This window comes from Homo sapiens, chromosome 17, assembly GCF_000001405.40.
Source record: "Homo sapiens chromosome 17, GRCh38.p14 Primary Assembly".
Lineage (NCBI taxonomy): Eukaryota > Metazoa > Chordata > Mammalia > Primates > Hominidae > Homo > Homo sapiens.
Genome location: NC_000017.11, coordinates 10,390,286 through 10,407,834, shown reverse-complemented (window position 1 = coordinate 10,407,834; position 17,549 = coordinate 10,390,286). Strand labels below are relative to the sequence as shown.

The 17,549-nt window shown below is 39.2% G+C and overlaps 1 protein-coding gene and 1 long non-coding RNA gene across 2 annotated transcripts in view, besides 2 other annotated features; one reads left to right on the top strand and one right to left on the bottom strand.

Moving 5' to 3' along the window:
• The window catches only part of MYH8 (myosin heavy chain 8), a 31,629-nt gene extending 14,116 nt beyond the window's left edge, over positions 1-17,513 (top strand). Inside the window, exons 18-40 of the mRNA NM_002472.3 lie at positions 856-943; positions 1,028-1,145; positions 1,438-1,561; positions 1,658-1,794; positions 3,250-3,505; positions 6,050-6,292; positions 6,384-6,560; positions 6,644-6,789; positions 6,876-6,966; positions 7,056-7,445; positions 8,166-8,292; positions 8,949-9,067; positions 9,195-9,391; positions 10,849-11,032; positions 11,117-11,282; positions 11,381-11,505; positions 12,394-12,702; positions 13,383-13,586; positions 14,625-14,750; positions 14,834-15,004; positions 15,189-15,293; positions 15,858-15,953; positions 17,232-17,513. Of these exons, the coding sequence (NP_002463.2) occupies positions 856-943; positions 1,028-1,145; positions 1,438-1,561; positions 1,658-1,794; positions 3,250-3,505; positions 6,050-6,292; positions 6,384-6,560; positions 6,644-6,789; positions 6,876-6,966; positions 7,056-7,445; positions 8,166-8,292; positions 8,949-9,067; positions 9,195-9,391; positions 10,849-11,032; positions 11,117-11,282; positions 11,381-11,505; positions 12,394-12,702; positions 13,383-13,586; positions 14,625-14,750; positions 14,834-15,004; positions 15,189-15,293; positions 15,858-15,953; positions 17,232-17,381 (3,849 nt within the window). The 3' untranslated portion in view covers positions 17,382-17,513. The remainder of the gene's footprint in view (positions 1-855; positions 944-1,027; positions 1,146-1,437; positions 1,562-1,657; positions 1,795-3,249; positions 3,506-6,049; positions 6,293-6,383; positions 6,561-6,643; positions 6,790-6,875; positions 6,967-7,055; positions 7,446-8,165; positions 8,293-8,948; positions 9,068-9,194; positions 9,392-10,848; positions 11,033-11,116; positions 11,283-11,380; positions 11,506-12,393; positions 12,703-13,382; positions 13,587-14,624; positions 14,751-14,833; positions 15,005-15,188; positions 15,294-15,857; positions 15,954-17,231) is intronic.
• MYHAS (myosin heavy chain gene cluster antisense RNA) overlaps positions 1-17,549 on the bottom strand; it is a 242,409-nt gene that overhangs the window by 217,706 nt on the left and 7,154 nt on the right. The window contains exon 2 of the long non-coding RNA NR_125367.1: positions 1,597-1,687. This is a non-coding gene — a long non-coding RNA (myosin heavy chain gene cluster antisense RNA). The remainder of the gene's footprint in view (positions 1-1,596; positions 1,688-17,549) is intronic.
• Positions 6,127-7,326: an enhancer, noted in NCBI's record as "BRD4-independent group 4 enhancer chr17:10303826-10305025 (GRCh37/hg19 assembly coordinates)". NCBI's record gives its function as "activates an origin of replication core promoter dependent on BRD2, P300/CBP, MED14 and CDK7 cofactors, and independent of BRD4, by STARR-seq in HCT116 cells {active_cell/tissue: HCT116}" and the evidence as "EXISTENCE:reporter gene assay evidence [ECO:0000049][PMID:35650434]".
• Positions 14,678-15,877: an enhancer, noted in NCBI's record as "BRD4-independent group 4 enhancer chr17:10295275-10296474 (GRCh37/hg19 assembly coordinates)". NCBI's record gives its function as "activates an origin of replication core promoter dependent on BRD2, P300/CBP, MED14 and CDK7 cofactors, and independent of BRD4, by STARR-seq in HCT116 cells {active_cell/tissue: HCT116}" and the evidence as "EXISTENCE:reporter gene assay evidence [ECO:0000049][PMID:35650434]".

Sequence of the window (17,549 nt, the reverse complement as noted above, 5' to 3'; positions counted from 1 at the left end):
CAGAGTCTTGCTCTGTCACCCAGGCTGTAGTGCAGTGACACAATCTCAGCTCACTGCAAACTCTGCCTCCTGGTATCAGGTAATTCTCCTGCCTCAGCCTCCCAAGTAGCTGGTATTACAGGCACCCGTCACCAGACCTGGCTAATTTTTGTATTTTTAGTAGAGATGGGGTTTCACTACGTTGCCCAGGCTGGTCTCGAACTCCTGACCTCATGATCCGCCCGCTTTGGCCTCCTAAGGTGCTGGGATTACAGGCGTGAGCCACCATGCCTGGCCAGTTTCACAATTTTAGACTCTTCAAAAATCAAAAGAAAACAAGAGGGTAAGAGGTCCCAGGAAATATTACACTCAAGGAAGGAAAGGCAAAAGTTAGGACAATTGCTAACTTAGGTTACCACTGTAAACTGCTACTGTGAAAATTATTAGCACTGAGAGAGATGAAAGAGACCTCACAAACAATCTCAACTATTCTCAGATAATGCCCAGAGAAAAAATGGATTTTATACAGTCAGGCAGTTCATTAGTGGCATAGCAAAGCCATCATGTTTTGTCTTGTGATTCTCGGTTGAGAACCCTTCCTTGTACATCACAAGGTTACTGAATTGCAATTTGTTTATGAGACAGATCCCTGGTGTTACAAAGGAATACCTTGGAGATGTGCATTCCTTCCAACCACTTTGGCCTTTTTGTTATTTGGCAGGCTAGAACTCTTGAGACCCTCAAAATACAGAGCAATTGAAGCCTCACAGATGCATGCCTAGTAGTTAAAGGACTGTCTAGGTTCATTCCATATAATTACAAAAAACAACCTGAAATAGAACTTTTTCATCAAGTCCTTTCTGTCTGGTTTTCTAGGAAAATTTAAATAAATTGATGACGAATCTGAGGAGCACACACCCTCACTTCGTACGGTGTATCATTCCCAATGAAACCAAAACTCCTGGTAAGACACAGAGAGTGAAATAATCAAACGGGCACAGGTTTGAAAGTTAAATGCCCACTAATAAGTACTGTTCTATATTTTTAGGGGCAATGGAACATGAACTTGTGTTGCACCAGCTGAGGTGTAATGGTGTGCTGGAAGGCATCCGCATCTGTAGGAAAGGATTCCCAAGCAGAATCTTATATGGTGATTTCAAACAAAGGTCAGTCTTCTTTGATGTATTTCATTAACACTGTGAATTAGTATGTATTAAAAAATTAAGAAGTCGAATAATATAGTCTTGTGGTGGTAGGATAATACAACAGGTTAGAAGGATAACAGGAAGCAGGCATGCAACAGAAAATCATATTGTTTTACTATCTGTCCTTAAACGGCAGTTGGATTTTCCACTTTTATTTCTACTCTCAGATGTTTGTTGATATTTCTTTTTGGTGTCATTTTGTTGGCATGTGGTCACATTTTCCTAACCATTCTTTCTTTCTTTAACTGAGCAGATACAAGGTTTTAAATGCAAGTGCTATTCCAGAGGGACAGTTCATTGACAGCAAGAAGGCTTCTGAGAAACTTCTTGCATCTATTGATATTGATCATACTCAATATAAATTTGGACATACCAAGGTATATCGTTATTTATTTACACCTGATCCAAGTACCTTCTGCCATTTCTGCATCTCCTGCAGTATGGAGATGATTTGTGACTCTCTCTTTCTCCAGGTTTTCTTCAAAGCTGGACTTCTGGGTCTTCTGGAAGAAATGAGAGATGAAAAATTAGCCCAAATTATAACAAGAACACAAGCTGTCTGTAGGGGATTCCTAATGAGGGTAGAATATCAGAAGATGTTGCAAAGGAGGTAACAATCATTCAGAATATCAGAATTATAAGGTCCCTTAAGGACTATCAATCAGTCTTGTTCATTCATTAATTCTTTCATTTGGTGGCTAATAGTTCCTCTCACCCAATTCAGAACTCACTCCTACAACACAGCAGCCTTTGCTTCAGCTCTCACACTTGGATTCCTTTCAAAACTTCTCTCCTACCTCCAGCCATCTCACATACAGCCACAGGAATAGTTTGCAGTAAGCAGTATTTTCATCAAGCTAGTTGCTTGCTTGCCTGTCAAGGCCCTCTCTATTCCCCACCTCATCTATCATTTCCAAGCACATAGCCTTTTCCAGCCAGGCTAAACAATTTGCTTATCTACTAATCTCTCATTTGCTTATCTTCTTATCTCATCTCTCCCCTCATCCTAATTTATCTATTTACCAATTTAAAACTTTAATTTCCCCTTTCTGTAACTAATCTCACCCAGTTTATCTACCCAACACTATTGCATTCCCTCTACTTACACACACACTGTGCATTCATTTTTCTTATCTGTAATCATTTAGGCCTGCACTGGAAGTGTTCCTGAGTCTTTCCCATGTGTGAACGTTATGGTTTGTGTCAAGGTATCTGCTTTCATAGAGTTACAAGTCTTAAAAACTGGACCTATAGAGATAGAATTTCCATTTTAACAAGCTTGAAGAAACATACACATTGCTACAAGTAGTCAAACCTAGCCAGTCTATGGCTATAGTTTGCAGTAGGGGTACCTTTTATTACTATTTTTCACTTTATTTCAATAAAATAAATTTTAGAGCTCAACAGATGCTGAATGCCTCGCAAATATTAACAATCCAATTAATCAGTTAAGACTGAGGCACTTGAAAGAATTTGAGATAAGCCAGTGTATTATCTGAAGAAGCTAGCAAAAAAAGTTTATAGAGTGGATAATTCAGTGTTGTTCAAAATAAGAGGAGCAACTTCAAGGAAGAGATGACAAATCATTCGCTCAGTTTAGGTGGGCCATTCAGAAGGCAACCTATGTCATTTCACAGTTCTCATCCATATGCCCACAGACAGGCAGCACAATCAACATGCAATCACCATGCCCACCCTCAAATCACTAATACTGTCATATGTCAAATGGTATGTGCTGATCATACATTCAAAATATTCACCCCTAAAGTCACTCTCTTGGCTAGTTTGATAGGGATTGAGAACACAGAAGATGTGCTCAATATGAACCGTACTCATATTAGCAAAGTGGTTATACTGAGGGCTACTGACCATGAGTGTGAGCGCGAGAATGTGTGTACATGTGTGTGTGTGTGTGTGTGTGTGTAAAGCCTGCATATAATATATAGAGAATGTGACATATTTATTTGTGAGCGGCATTCATTAAAAGGGAAATTTGTGTGTGATAAGTAACAATAACATTGGCTCTGATGGATTAGTCTACACTGATATTTTCATGTCATCGCAGAGAAGCACTTTTCTGCATCCAGTATAATGTCCGTGCCTTCATGAACGTCAAGCACTGGCCCTGGATGAAACTCTTTTTCAAGATTAAGCCCCTCCTCAAGAGTGCAGAGACCGAGAAAGAGATGGCCACCATGAAGGAAGAATTCCAGAAAACCAAAGATGAACTCGCCAAGTCAGAGGCAAAACGGAAGGAGCTAGAGGAAAAAATGGTCACTCTCTTAAAAGAGAAAAATGACCTGCAACTCCAGGTTCAATCTGTGAGTACTCCATATTCTGAATGCACCATGTTACTGAAGCTTTTTTGAAACACACATATACTTTGGATTTACAAATGATCTCTACTTGAAAAAAAATCTCAAGTTGCTGTTTTTAATACCTCATTTATCTTTTAGTATTCTATGGGGAAGAAAAGGCACAATTATTTCCAAGTTACAATGGGAAAAGGAAAGATTGAAGAATTTGTTTAAATAATATCACAAAATTTAACAGCCATGAAGGAAGTAGCTTAAAGCCAATCCCCCAAGTCTCAGTCAAATATTTTACCCCTTTGCCTGGGCTACTTTAGCCCAGCATTAAAAGTATAGCTCTATTTTCTAAATGCAAGTCTATGAGATTGTATTTAAATTCAAACTTATTTATTTCTGTATCTCCTTTCCCCAACCCCCAAGATTTAGCTCAATAAATCTATCTGTATTTAATGGAACTGAACTACCAGCATGTCAGGCAGAGCAATGTGTCCTCCTGATTCTTCCTCTGATACAAATCTCTAGTTCCTAGAGTCTGTTTATTGGTGCAGGAAGGAGGGGCAGTTGGGGTGGGGAGTAGGTTTGGCATGAACACTTTGGTCAAAGGTAACCTCCCATTTCCTTGGTTCAGCAAACCTAACAATATCATAAACTAACCTGTGAAAAGGATAGTTTTCCCACTTTTTTTCAGCAACTTTCAATTTTTCCTTCTGATACCTTCATTTATATGAAGGTTACATTTTTCCAAAAGCACAGGACCATAGCCTCTCTATCTTACCATCTTTTCACAGTTATCATTAGTCAGTGAGTAAATATGTATTGAGTGTATCACTATTAAAAATAAATATATTAAGCAGTAAAGCTCAAAAAAAGAAAAAAGAAAAGAATCCCCCAATAAGTTCCCATTATATTCCATTTAAACGTTTTTTAAACTCAAGAACAAAACAAACACTGGGAGTTAAAAAATATTCCCCAGGCCAAGGTAACCTAATAAATTAGACTGGATTGATTTTTATTTGAATCCTTTCATTAGTCACTTATAAAAACTTTATTGAGCTATACAGTTTCTGAGAATTACATTTTCTCATATATTCTAAAATTCATTTTGATAATTATTGGGAGAGGGGAGAGGGCCACAAATGGAATGGACAAGGCAAATGTGGCATAACTTAGCAACTGGTAAATCTAGGTTCATAACATATCACTGTTCATTCTATTTTTTTTTCCTAACTTGACATATGGGTTTGAACATTTTCAAAATTTCAGGGGCTCAACATAGACTTTCCACATTAACCAGATTTAGAAGGGAATGGGAAAACAAAAGCAAACAAAAACACAAAAGCAGAAAGGGCTAAGAACAGTTCATCAATCTTTCCTTAACTAGAATTGTCCTGGGCATGAGAACCTCTAGCCTAGTCAATGGTACAACTCTCTGAAAATTATGTTGCAGTTTAGGCCTATTGCCCATGTTGTGTATAAAAATGAAACAATGAAACCACAAAACTTAAAGAACATTTTTGTTACACTGGGGAAATCTGAATATAGACTGTATATTAGATAATATTATTGTATCAGTGATTAATATTTTCATTTGTAATAACAGTATTGTAGTTATATAGGAGAATGTTCATGTCCTTAGGAGAGAAATGCTAAAATATGATATCTGCCATTTACTTTCAAATGATTTAGGAGAGTGTGTGTGTGTGTGTGCGTGCACATGTGCCTATATATGTGTCTATGTGTGTGTTTAGAGAGAGAAAAAACAGTAAAATGTTAAAAATACGAGGATTTAGGTAAATGGTATATGGCAATTTATTGTATTATTCATACAGCTATTCGGTAAGTTTAACAGTTTTCAAAATAAAAGTTGGGGTAAAAGTTCCAAAAAATAAAATTCACCTTAAGACTAATGGGTAATTCTGTAAATGGAAATGTAAATTTTGAACAATTATAGCACTGTATGAACTACCAGGAAGGTTTTAGTGTATTAAAAAATACTACATGGAAATGTATTTAAATTATTTTTCTTCTTTTTCTTTCTTCAATACAGCCTAGCAATTATTGGTTTGAGGGGGACAGGGAATGATCAAAACCAAAACTAACCAATTTAACTAAATCAAAATCTTTAAATATTACAGCTGAAAAGCTCTTGGCAATCATTTATTCCAACCCATATATATATATACACAAAATTGAGAATGAAAGGAATAAAGCAATTTGCCCAAAGTCATACATATGCAAACAATATTGGGACAAGAACCCAGGCTTCCTTTTGCCCGATTTAGAGGTCTTTCCACTCTTCTACAAATTATTTTTTAAATAATCAATAGCTCCAATCCAATAACTTTGCAAACTAGTTTGCTTCTAAAGCTATAGTCTCACTTCCAATAAGCTGCATTTCTCCAGACCATGTAATAATGTTCGATTAAATTAAATTTATATTCATACTGAAAAATTCAACAGAATTCAATAAAACACTATTATTTTTGCGCAAAAAAAACACCAAGTTTCAAAATAAGTAACAGACTCTAAGTATCTGAATGAATCTCTCCATAGGAAGCAGATAGCTTGGCTGATGCAGAGGAAAGGTGTGAGCAACTGATTAAAAACAAAATCCAACTTGAGGCCAAAATCAAAGAGGTGACTGAAAGAGCTGAGGAGGAGGAAGAGATCAATGCTGAGCTGACAGCCAAGAAGAGAAAACTGGAGGATGAATGTTCAGAACTCAAGAAAGACATTGATGACCTTGAGCTGACACTGGCCAAGGTTGAGAAGGAGAAACATGCCACGGAGAACAAGGTATCAGTCATATTTTACAATACTGTATAGAGGTTCTGCCACCAACTAAATTGCTTTATAGGAGAAATAATCTCTTTCTTAACCTTTGTAGGTGAAAAATCTTACAGAAGAGATGGCAGGCCTGGATGAAACCATTGCAAAACTGTCCAAGGAGAAGAAGGCTCTCCAAGAGACCCACCAGCAGACCCTGGATGACCTGCAGGCAGAGGAGGACAAAGTCAACATCCTGACCAAAGCTAAAACCAAGCTAGAACAGCAAGTGGATGATGTAAGCACATTTTAAATATCCCTTTGAAAGATTTTTTTAAAAATATATACTTTCAATTTTTACCATATTTACTTTCTTATTAGCTTGAAGGGTCTCTGGAACAAGAAAAGAAGCTTCGAATGGATCTAGAAAGAGCAAAGCGGAAACTGGAGGGTGACCTCAAATTGGCCCAAGAATCCACAATGGATATGGAAAATGACAAACAGCAACTTGATGAAAAGCTTGAAAAGTAGGAGCCTTTTAGAAAAAAACTTCTATGTGATATCATCTTTCAATTCACATGAGTATTAATACGTCTTGCTCTTCTGTCTAAAGGAAAGAATTTGAAATCAGCAATTTGATAAGCAAAATTGAAGATGAGCAAGCTGTAGAAATTCAACTACAGAAGAAGATCAAAGAGTTGCAGGTGAGTCATCTCACCTCTATTTTTTCTGCACACCAAAAAAACACTGAAGTTGAGATGAGTTTATGTTTATGTGCTTCTTTCATTCCCAGGCCCGCATTGAGGAGCTGGGGGAAGAAATCGAGGCAGAGAGGGCGTCCCGAGCCAAAGCGGAGAAGCAGCGCTCTGACCTCTCCCGGGAACTGGAGGAGATCAGCGAGAGGCTGGAAGAAGCCGGTGGGGCAACTTCTGCTCAGGTGGAATTGAACAAGAAGCGGGAGGCTGAGTTTCAGAAACTGCGCAGGGACCTGGAGGAGGCCACCCTGCAGCATGAAGCTATGGTGGCTGCTCTTCGGAAGAAGCACGCAGACAGTATGGCTGAGCTTGGGGAGCAGATTGACAACTTGCAGCGGGTCAAACAGAAGCTGGAGAAGGAGAAGAGTGAGCTGAAGATGGAGACTGATGACCTCAGCAGTAACGCAGAGGCCATTTCCAAAGCCAAGGTACCCAATACTGTCTCTAAATGAAGGTAATCATCTGTAAGAACACCCATTATTCTCTATCACTAAACATTGTTTGCAGGCATTTTACAGCACTACTCAAATATTTTCTAACCAAATATATCCCATTCTATGGTATTTTTTAAAATGCTGGTTATGATCGATTAAGATGATTTTTTTTTGGAGCGGGGGGATGGAGTCTCACTCTGTCGCCCAGGCTGAAGTGCAGTGGCGCAATCTCGGCTCACTGCAAGCTCCGCCTCCCGGGTTCACGCCACTCTCCTGCCTCAGCCTCCCCAGTAGCTGGGACTACAGGCGCCCGCCAGCACGCCTAGCTAATTTTTTGTATTTTTAGTAGAGACGGGGTTTCACCGTGTTAGCCAGGATGCTCTCGATCTCCTAACCTCATGATCCGCCCGCCTCGGCCTCCCAAAGTGCTGGGATTACAGGCATGAGCCACCGCGCCCGGCCTATTAAGATGATTTCAAAATCCACTTTAAGCAAGCGTCAATATCATTGGAATAAATGGTCTCCAACAATGACCAGTTTAGGCACACTATGCACTCGCCATGCCTAAATTCTTGCATGTTCCACAGAGTTGATGTCCTAACTTTCTACTCACACTTGACATGAATTTATTTACTCTACAAATATTTTAAGAATCAAGTTTTAACCTTTTTATTGCATTCAATGTCTCATCTTTCATTGCTACATATCCTGTAGGGAAACCTTGAAAAGATGTGCCGCTCTCTAGAAGATCAAGTGAGTGAGCTTAAGACCAAGGAAGAGGAGCAGCAGCGGCTGATCAATGACCTCACAGCACAGAGAGCGCGCCTGCAGACAGAAGCGGGTAAAGACATCTTCTCTGGGTCCCAACACCATGGACTAAATAAAATGGATTCTAGGGGTTCTAATAAATAGCAATATTCCCACTTTAGAGAAAGATAAACAAATGATCAGAGTTTGCTAAGAAGGTCAAAAAGGAAAGAAGTCAAGACTGAGCAGACAAGTTTACTTACAACACTTCTATGGCAATGCTGCTTTTAAATCTCCGGTTCTAACCAGTGCTAAAAAAATACTTAGAAGCAGATGAAGTGTAGATTAAACACATCACACACAAACAGACACACACACACACACACAGGTTGAGTATCCCTAATCTGAAAATCAAAAATCTGAAATGCTCCAAAATTCAAAACTGAGGGCTGACATGATGTCCAAAGGAAATGCTCACTGCAGCATTTCAGATTTTAGATTTTCGGATTAGGGATGCTGAACTGGCAAGTGTAATGCAAATATTCTAAAATCAAACAAAAATCTGAAATCTGAAACACTTCTGGTCCCAAGCATTTCAGGTAAGGTATATACAACTTGTATATATATATATATATATATATACACACACACATATATACATATATATATACACACACACATATATAAATGTAAAAGGTTTAGGCTTATTTTTATGCCAGTAAAAAATTCCCTTATGTCTATTATTCCTAGGTGAATATTCTCGACAATTAGATGAGAAAGATGCTTTAGTCTCTCAGCTTTCAAGGAGCAAGCAAGCATCTACTCAGCAGATTGAAGAGCTGAAACATCAACTAGAGGAAGAAACTAAAGTGAGTTTTGCCAAGGATTTTTTTGACTAACCAAATCTAAACCTGCCCAGTTAGGCTCTACTTGGGATGTGTAAGTTAAATATCACTGAATACATGAATTTATGTCACTGAACTGCTACTTCTGCAGGCCAAGAACGCCCTGGCACACGCCCTGCAGTCCTCCCGCCATGACTGCGACCTGCTGCGGGAACAGTATGAGGAAGAGCAGGAAGGCAAAGCTGAGCTGCAGAGGGCGCTGTCCAAGGCCAACAGTGAGGTTGCCCAGTGGAGAACCAAATACGAGACGGATGCCATCCAGCGCACAGAGGAGCTGGAGGAGGCCAAGTATGTGCTGTGAACTCTAGAAGAGGAACTCCCAGAAGCAGCTGTGATATTTATGATGATGATAACATAACAATAGCAAAAGCTAACATTTATTGAGTGCATACTGTGTCAAGTATTATATATATATAATGTATGCATGTATATCAGCTTATTTACCTTCATAACAATATTATATTGGTATCATTATTCTAATCCCCATTTTACAGATGAGGAAGTTGAGGCTGTAAGTTGTTAACCAACTAACCCAAAAGTATCTGCTTAATAAATGATACAGCTGGGTTTGGAGCCTGTCATTCTGATTCTACAGCCCACCTTCTTAAGCACTGAGTAGAAGACATACCTCTTAAAACTCATGTTGGAGGCCACCAAACCATACATAATGTTTAGGGTTGGCCTAAATAAAGTGAAGCCTTAGTCTGCATATAGACAAACGGAGACCTTCAAGTAGATCTCCCTGGGCATCAAGCCAAAGGTTTTTCACTACCATAAGGATGTGTACTTGGCACACAACTGAAAATGAACTGAGAATGTAGAGAATTCAGGAGGGAAAAAAAACCTGCCTTTGTTTAAACTGCACGAATTGTCCTGATTTATGTATCAGTTTCTTTCCCAGGAGAGATTGTCCAACTATAATGATTAGAAGAAACTGGCTATTCTCTAGGAAAAAAACACATAAAATGGAATGAAAAGTCTGAGAAAGCAAATGAATATGCTCAGTATATTTCTGGCCAGTAAAATATCTAGTTAACCTCAAATCCATATTGGAGTGAGAATGGATATATAAGTCAAACAACAAGATTGTCCTGGCTAATAATTTTCCACAGTCATACTCAATCAGAAGTCTTGAAAATCCTGAGTTACTTAGGTAGTAAGGCGCATACAATGGCAGCACTAACAGCAGCCTCTTAGAATTCTATAATATTCCCAGGACTTGTTTCCAACTCTTCACCACTTTGGATCTTTCCATACAGTTTACCAATCTAGAAAGCAGTTCTGGCTGCCACCGTTTTGAAAATCATATGCCATTTGCCAGTATAGAAACAGGACCGTGGCCAGGCACAGTGGCTCACACCTGTAATCCCAGCACTTTGGGAGGCCAAGGCGGGTGGATCACCTGAGGTCAGGAGTTCAAGACCAGCTTGGCCAACATATGGTGAAACCCTGTCTCTATTTAAAAAAAAATATACATATATACAAAAATTAGCTGGGCATGGTGGTGCACATCTGTAATCCCAGCTACTTGGGAAACTGAGGCAGGAGAATCGCTTGAACCCGGGAGGTCGCAGTGACCGAGATTGCACCACTGCACTCCAGCATGGGCGACAGAGCGAGACTCCGTCTCTCAAAAAAAGAAACAAAAGAAAAGAAAAGAAATAGGACTGTGAAAAGGGACCAAGGAGGTTATCACTTTGCTTCTGGTCTTGGCCATTCTCCTGACTGCCTGGCTAACTTTTCAGGAAAAAGTTGGCCCAGCGCCTGCAAGAAGCTGAGGAACATGTAGAAGCTGTGAACGCCAAATGTGCTTCCCTTGAGAAGACGAAGCAGCGGCTCCAGAATGAAGTTGAAGACCTCATGCTTGATGTGGAAAGGTCTAATGCAGCCTGTGCAGCCCTTGATAAGAAGCAAAGGAACTTTGACAAGGTGGCCCAGACTGCTTAAACTTTAAGAGTGTTTTACTCGGTCTTCCTTTCTCCTTGGATCAACTCATGATTTATTGCTTTTCAGGTCCTATCAGAATGGAAGCAGAAGTATGAGGAAACTCAGGCTGAACTTGAGGCCTCCCAGAAGGAGTCACGTTCTCTTAGCACTGAGCTGTTCAAGGTGAAGAATGTCTATGAGGAATCCCTGGATCAACTCGAAACGCTAAGAAGAGAAAATAAGAACTTGCAACGTGAGTCCTCACAGTCCTCCCTACTCCATATATCCCTGGGAGGACCTTTCCATGTTGCCATCTTTCTGACCATTTCTCTCCTGTCTGTTCAACCACAGAGGAGATTTCTGACCTCACTGAGCAGATTGCAGAGGGAGGAAAGCAAATTCATGAATTGGAGAAAATAAAGAAGCAAGTAGAACAAGAGAAATGTGAAATTCAGGCTGCTTTAGAGGAAGCAGAGGTACATATTACCTTGTATTATGTTATGGAAAAACAAAGACAAACATCAGTTAAAAAAAAGTGGGGCTAGTGATAATTTAAACTCACAGGATCTTTATGAAGGACAACTTGGCAATAGTTATCAAAATCCTTAAAAATGTAAATACTCTGACCTATCAATTCTATTTCTAAGATTTTATCACCCAAAAGATGTCAAATGGAGTAAAGCTTTAAGGCAAAGATGTGCAATCTAAGAACAAAAGTAAGCAAATCACAGAACAGTCATGTGATGAAATTTTATATAGCCATGAAATATGATTATTTTGGAAAAATATTTTACGGTAGACAGTAATTTTAAAGACACAAATTTGCATATACAATATAATTTTGATTATGTAAAAATATATAGAAGTAGGAAAAAAGACTAGAAAAAATACACCATATTAAAATGTTTTTCTCTTTACTGGGGGAACAACAGCTAGGTTTTCTTTTGGTTTTATGTATTGCCTCCACATTATACAATGAACATTTATTATGTAATCGGAAAAAAAATTAACATTTTAAAACTGATAGTTTCTAGGTCAGGGGCTAGTATATCACACAAGAACATTTTAATTTCTAAAACAGATTGAGAATTTATATTTACTATACATGAATTTAATTATATAATTTTATTAGTATTAATATGAACAATATTTGTATAGCACAATGCACCTTTATTGCAGAGCTGCCCTATATAATCTGTCACTAAATAAACAAAATAATGATTTACCTAGAAGATTCCCAGAACTACTGTATTATACTTTGTAAAATTAGACAAACTGATATTGACAAGAGTTTGGCTCACGAGGGAATATACTCCAAATACTCAGGTTCTTCTCCATTATTAATTGATCACTGTTTTGTTAAGGCATCTCTTGAACATGAAGAAGGAAAGATTCTGCGTATCCAGCTTGAGTTAAACCAAGTCAAGTCTGAAGTTGATAGAAAAATCGCAGAAAAGGATGAGGAAATTGACCAGCTGAAGAGAAACCACACTAGAGTCGTGGAGACAATGCAGAGCACGCTGGATGCAGAGATTAGAAGCAGAAATGATGCTCTGAGAGTCAAGAAGAAAATGGAAGGAGATCTGAATGAAATGGAAATCCAGCTGAACCATGCCAATCGCTTAGCTGCAGAGAGTTTAAGGAACTACAGGAACACCCAAGGAATCCTGAAGGTAAACGGGTCCACATTCGCCTCCCAGATGAAGCAGGGAAAGTACCTGTCTTCCATTTCCCAAACACCTTGTTAAACGATCCTTTTTTTCTCTTAACAAATTATACAGCTGACCGCACAAAGGTAACTGAATTAAATACACATAGAACATATTATTTTTAAGAAAATGTTATGTAGAAGAACAAACAGATGCCTAGGCATTACAGTATGATATGAAAGAAAGTGAACAGACTTGGGCACCAGACAGGCCTGAGGTTGAGTCTTAGTTTTGTCATTTACTAGCTGCCTGATTTTAAGCAAATTACTTAACCTCTCAGAACCTCTGTTCCTTCTTCAAAATAAGAATGAAACTACCCACCTCACTGAGTTACTGTGAAGATCAAATGAAATAACAGATGTCAAGTCCTGATAGAGCATATGGAAACTGCTCCACAAATGACAGACATTAGTGACTCACACATGACACAGTAACCAGTTAATGGTAGAAATAGAACAAGAATCTATGTCTCCTGATAATTCTCTCTCACCCTAAGCAAATGACCTAACCATAATCAGATGCATTCAAATGACAGGCATATGTCATCTTCTGTTCCTGTCACCAGTACAATCTCCCAGTTCATCTCCTGGGATCTTCAAATCCTCTTCAGAACACTTAAGGCCTTTCTGTTTTTCACTTATTAGGAAACCCAGCTCCACCTGGATGATGCTCTCCGGGGCCAGGAGGACCTCAAGGAACAGCTGGCAATTGTGGAGCGCAGAGCCAACCTGCTGCAGGCTGAGATCGAGGAGCTGTGGGCCACTCTGGAACAGACAGAGAGAAGCAGGAAAATCGCCGAACAGGAGCTCCTGGATGCCAGTGAGCGTGTCCAGCTCCTCCACACCCAGGTGAGACCCTCACATCAAACAAATGCTGGTGTACTGGTAGCTGATGCATTCGAATTATAACATGAAAGTACTCAATTTGTATAAATATGTGTATGTAAACATGGATGGGGGATATGCTCAAAAATACTCATTGCTATTATCTTAGGGTAATTGGTGGATTATGGGTGATTTTTTTTTGTTTTTTTGGTGTGTGTTCCTGTTTCTTTCTTGGGGTTTCTACCCCTCACCAAAAAAAAAAAAAAAAAAAAAAAAAAAAAGCTATTACTTTTTTATTTAAAAATAAGATTTGGCTATTTAGATTATTTTGGAAACCATGAGGTAGAATACTATTGAGTAAAGATACCTGTTGCCTCCAAAATCTGAAAATGTTCCATGCAGTGTTTCTCATTGGTAGCACTTAAGCATTTAGCACTGCTGTGTTCACTGTCCCCATGCCTTACAGCTCATTTAGCATTCCTAACCTGCCCAGGCATTAAATGCAGTAGCACCCCCTAGTCATTTTGACAACCAAAAATATCTGCCCCTAAACATTTTCAAATACCTGTTGAGACGATATTGCTTCTCTCTAGAAACACTGAGTTGAAATCTTAAGAACATGTTTTCATAAGACAAATTCAGTGCTCTCCGACAGAACAAATCATAAAAATTCAGAGAGAATAGATTCTTTCAAAGCAAGAAACTCTCAGTGCCTGCCACTCACAAAACGAATCTATTCTTTTCTATTTCCAACCTTCCAGAGATAGAATAACTAGTGATGTCTGACTGAAATATAATTAAAAGAACAATTAACTAATGTATGCCAATAAAGGCATTCTCAAACCTCAGAAGTCCTTATGCATAAATCAGGTGGACACTGGGGAAGTTGGGGGAAAGGAGTTCCTACCTTGCAAATAATTAACATTTTCCACTGAACAAATAATTAAAGTTTAGTGAAATGTTGCCAGCAGATCCCCTGCACGAACCAACAAGTAAGACACTTGTAAAATCCCAAGAGGGCAAACTGCAAATTTTGTAAATTTCCACGACTACTTTTAACAGAATACCAGTCTCATTAACACCAAGAAGAAATTAGAAAATGACGTTTCCCAACTCCAAAGTGAAGTGGAAGAAGTAATCCAAGAATCACGCAATGCAGAAGAGAAAGCCAAGAAGGCCATCACTGATGTAAGATGAACATTTGGCCTACTGACACGTATGCACCTGCTATCATCAAGTTTCATTACTTTCTTAATTTATTTCCTAAATAGGCTGCCATGATGGCTGAGGAGCTGAAGAAGGAACAGGACACCAGCGCCCACCTGGAGCGGATGAAGAAGAACCTGGAGCAGACGGTGAAGGACCTGCAGCATCGTCTAGATGAGGCCGAGCAGCTGGCGCTGAAGGGTGGGAAGAAGCAGATCCAGAAACTGGAGGCCAGGGTGGGTGTCTCAATCTCTCTAAATCTGGGAAGGGAAAAAGGGCACTCTCTCTACCCTTCTCTCTTCCTACACAAGACTCCCATCCTGTCCTGGGGCTGGGAACACCCACCCCATGCCTTCAGTAGGTCTTGGGCTAATTAATATCCCCCAAGACTGACTGCGTAAGTATTTTTCTTGGCTGCAGGTACGTGAGCTTGAAGGAGAGGTTGAAAATGAACAGAAACGTAATGCAGAGGCTGTTAAAGGTTTACGGAAACATGAGCGACGAGTAAAAGAACTCACCTACCAGGTAAAGGGAATAGCCTTCCAGAATATCCACTCTTCCTGCCCAGAAGGAAATTGAAAACCTTATGACTATTTATTTATATGCCACTCACAAACAAATACGCATTAACTTGGTACATGTAAGGAGTAAAGACAGTTGCTTATCACAGACCTATACTAAAACTTAGGGAGGCCTTCAGATTTCTAAAGTTTAGAAAATAGCATGACAGTAAAGAACACAGATTTTAAAGGCAGATTAACTGGGTATTAGTCCTAGTTTGGCCTCTCTTGCTTCTTGAACTTAACACTCTAAACCTCAGTTTCTTCACCTGTAAAATAGAGATAACAGTGTCTATTTTCCCGGATGGGGAGGTAAGGACTGGAGAGGATGTGTGCAATTCTCTAATACAGTACCTGCACAGTGGAAACATTTACCAAGAGTGCTACTGTTAATTCTATGAAGAAAATCTCAGAGTTGATCAAGTTTACCCCAGGCCCACCTGCCATCATGCCAAATGATTTTATTTTAGTACCCAGAGTAGCCTTATCTCTTCGGAATGAATGCAGATTATTTTTTTCAAACTTTCAGACTGAAGAAGATCGCAAGAATGTTCTCAGGCTGCAGGACTTGGTAGATAAATTACAGGCGAAGGTGAAATCATACAAGAGACAAGCTGAGGAGGCTGTAAGTATCTTTAAGCCCTTGAGGAAAGAAGGAAATTTCTTTTGCAGTAGAAAGTGTTTTAAGAGAATGCGTCAATAAGGAAGAAGACAAAGTGAAAATCTACCACTCATTTTAAGAGGGATGATTTTATAAATATGAATTTGTCCCGCCAAATCCAAATTACAGAATAAGACTTCAAAAGATTTATTTATTTATTTATTTTGACACAGAGCCTCGCTGTGTCACCCAGGTTGGAGTGCAGTGGTGTGATCTTGGCTCACTGCAACCTCTGCCTCCCAAGCTCAAGTGATTCTTATGCCTCAGCCTCTCCAGTAGCTGGGACAACAGGCATGCACCACCACACCTGGCTGGTTTTTGTATTTTTAGTACAGACAGGGCTTCACCGTGTTGGCCAGGCTGGTCTCAAACTCCTGGCCTCAAGTGATCCACCCACCTCGGCCTCCCAAAGTGCTGGGATTACAGGCATGAGCCACCACGCCCAGCCGAGATATTTTTATTATTAAGCAATTTGTAAGGGTTGAGGGGGGCAAGTTCTAAACAGCTCACTTACTTGATAGCTACAAATGATATACAGTAGAAATTCTAATTAATACCATCATAAATATTCCTCTCCCTCTAGACATAGAAAAAATCAAGTTCTCAAAAGCCAAACATCAATCTTTTACCCCACCTGACTTCTTCACTCACCACTAGTGTCATCAGTGGGGGCTCTTGCCCCCACATTTGCTGTAGCTAATATAAGAACATGTTAGAAGATTCTGTACCTATACCCTTCCTGGTTATCCCTCCACTCTTCCAGACACATGTGATAGGTAGGAAGTAAATAGGAAGAAAAGGAAAGAAAAAAGGGAGAGGCATAAATGGCAATGAGTCAATTAACAGAGGAGACTTTCTGTCTAGTCCCATCTTTTCCCTTTCTTTATATACTAGAATCAAAATATATATTAAGTGGTATTTCCCCAATTATAATTTGGCCTTACATTTACTTACTGATGTCTATAAGTGTACATAGGTCTCTTCCTCCTTTCCACACAGAACATAAATCATAAAAGGATGTATGGGCTTTATATGAGGCTGTCTCCTCCACTTCAAAACTCTCCTTTCATTCTTTAAAGTAAAAATTGTAGTTGAAGTTATAAACTCTGTTTAGATTTAAAGTCGGATATGCTAAATAGACCATAAGAAGGAAATACCTGATTTGAGGAACTAATCCTGTCTGGTGATAAGTGCAATGAGAACCACACAGTCTAATTCTCACAATTTTATCTCTATTCTTAGGAGGAACAATCCAATGCTAATCTATCTAAATTCCGCAAACTCCAGCATGAGCTGGAGGAGGCCGAGGAACGGGCTGACATTGCTGAGTCCCAGGTCAACAAATTGCGAGTGAAGAGCCGAGAGGTTCACACAAAAATCAGTGCAGAGTAAACACACCTGCCTGATGCTATCAAGAGGCTGAAGAAAGGCACAAAATGTGCTATTTTTGGTCACTTGCTTTATGACGTTTATTTTCCTGTTAAAGCTGAATAAATAAAAACTACAGTAAATGTATACATTAAACCGGACTTTCATTTTTTCACTTGCAAAGCTATTCAT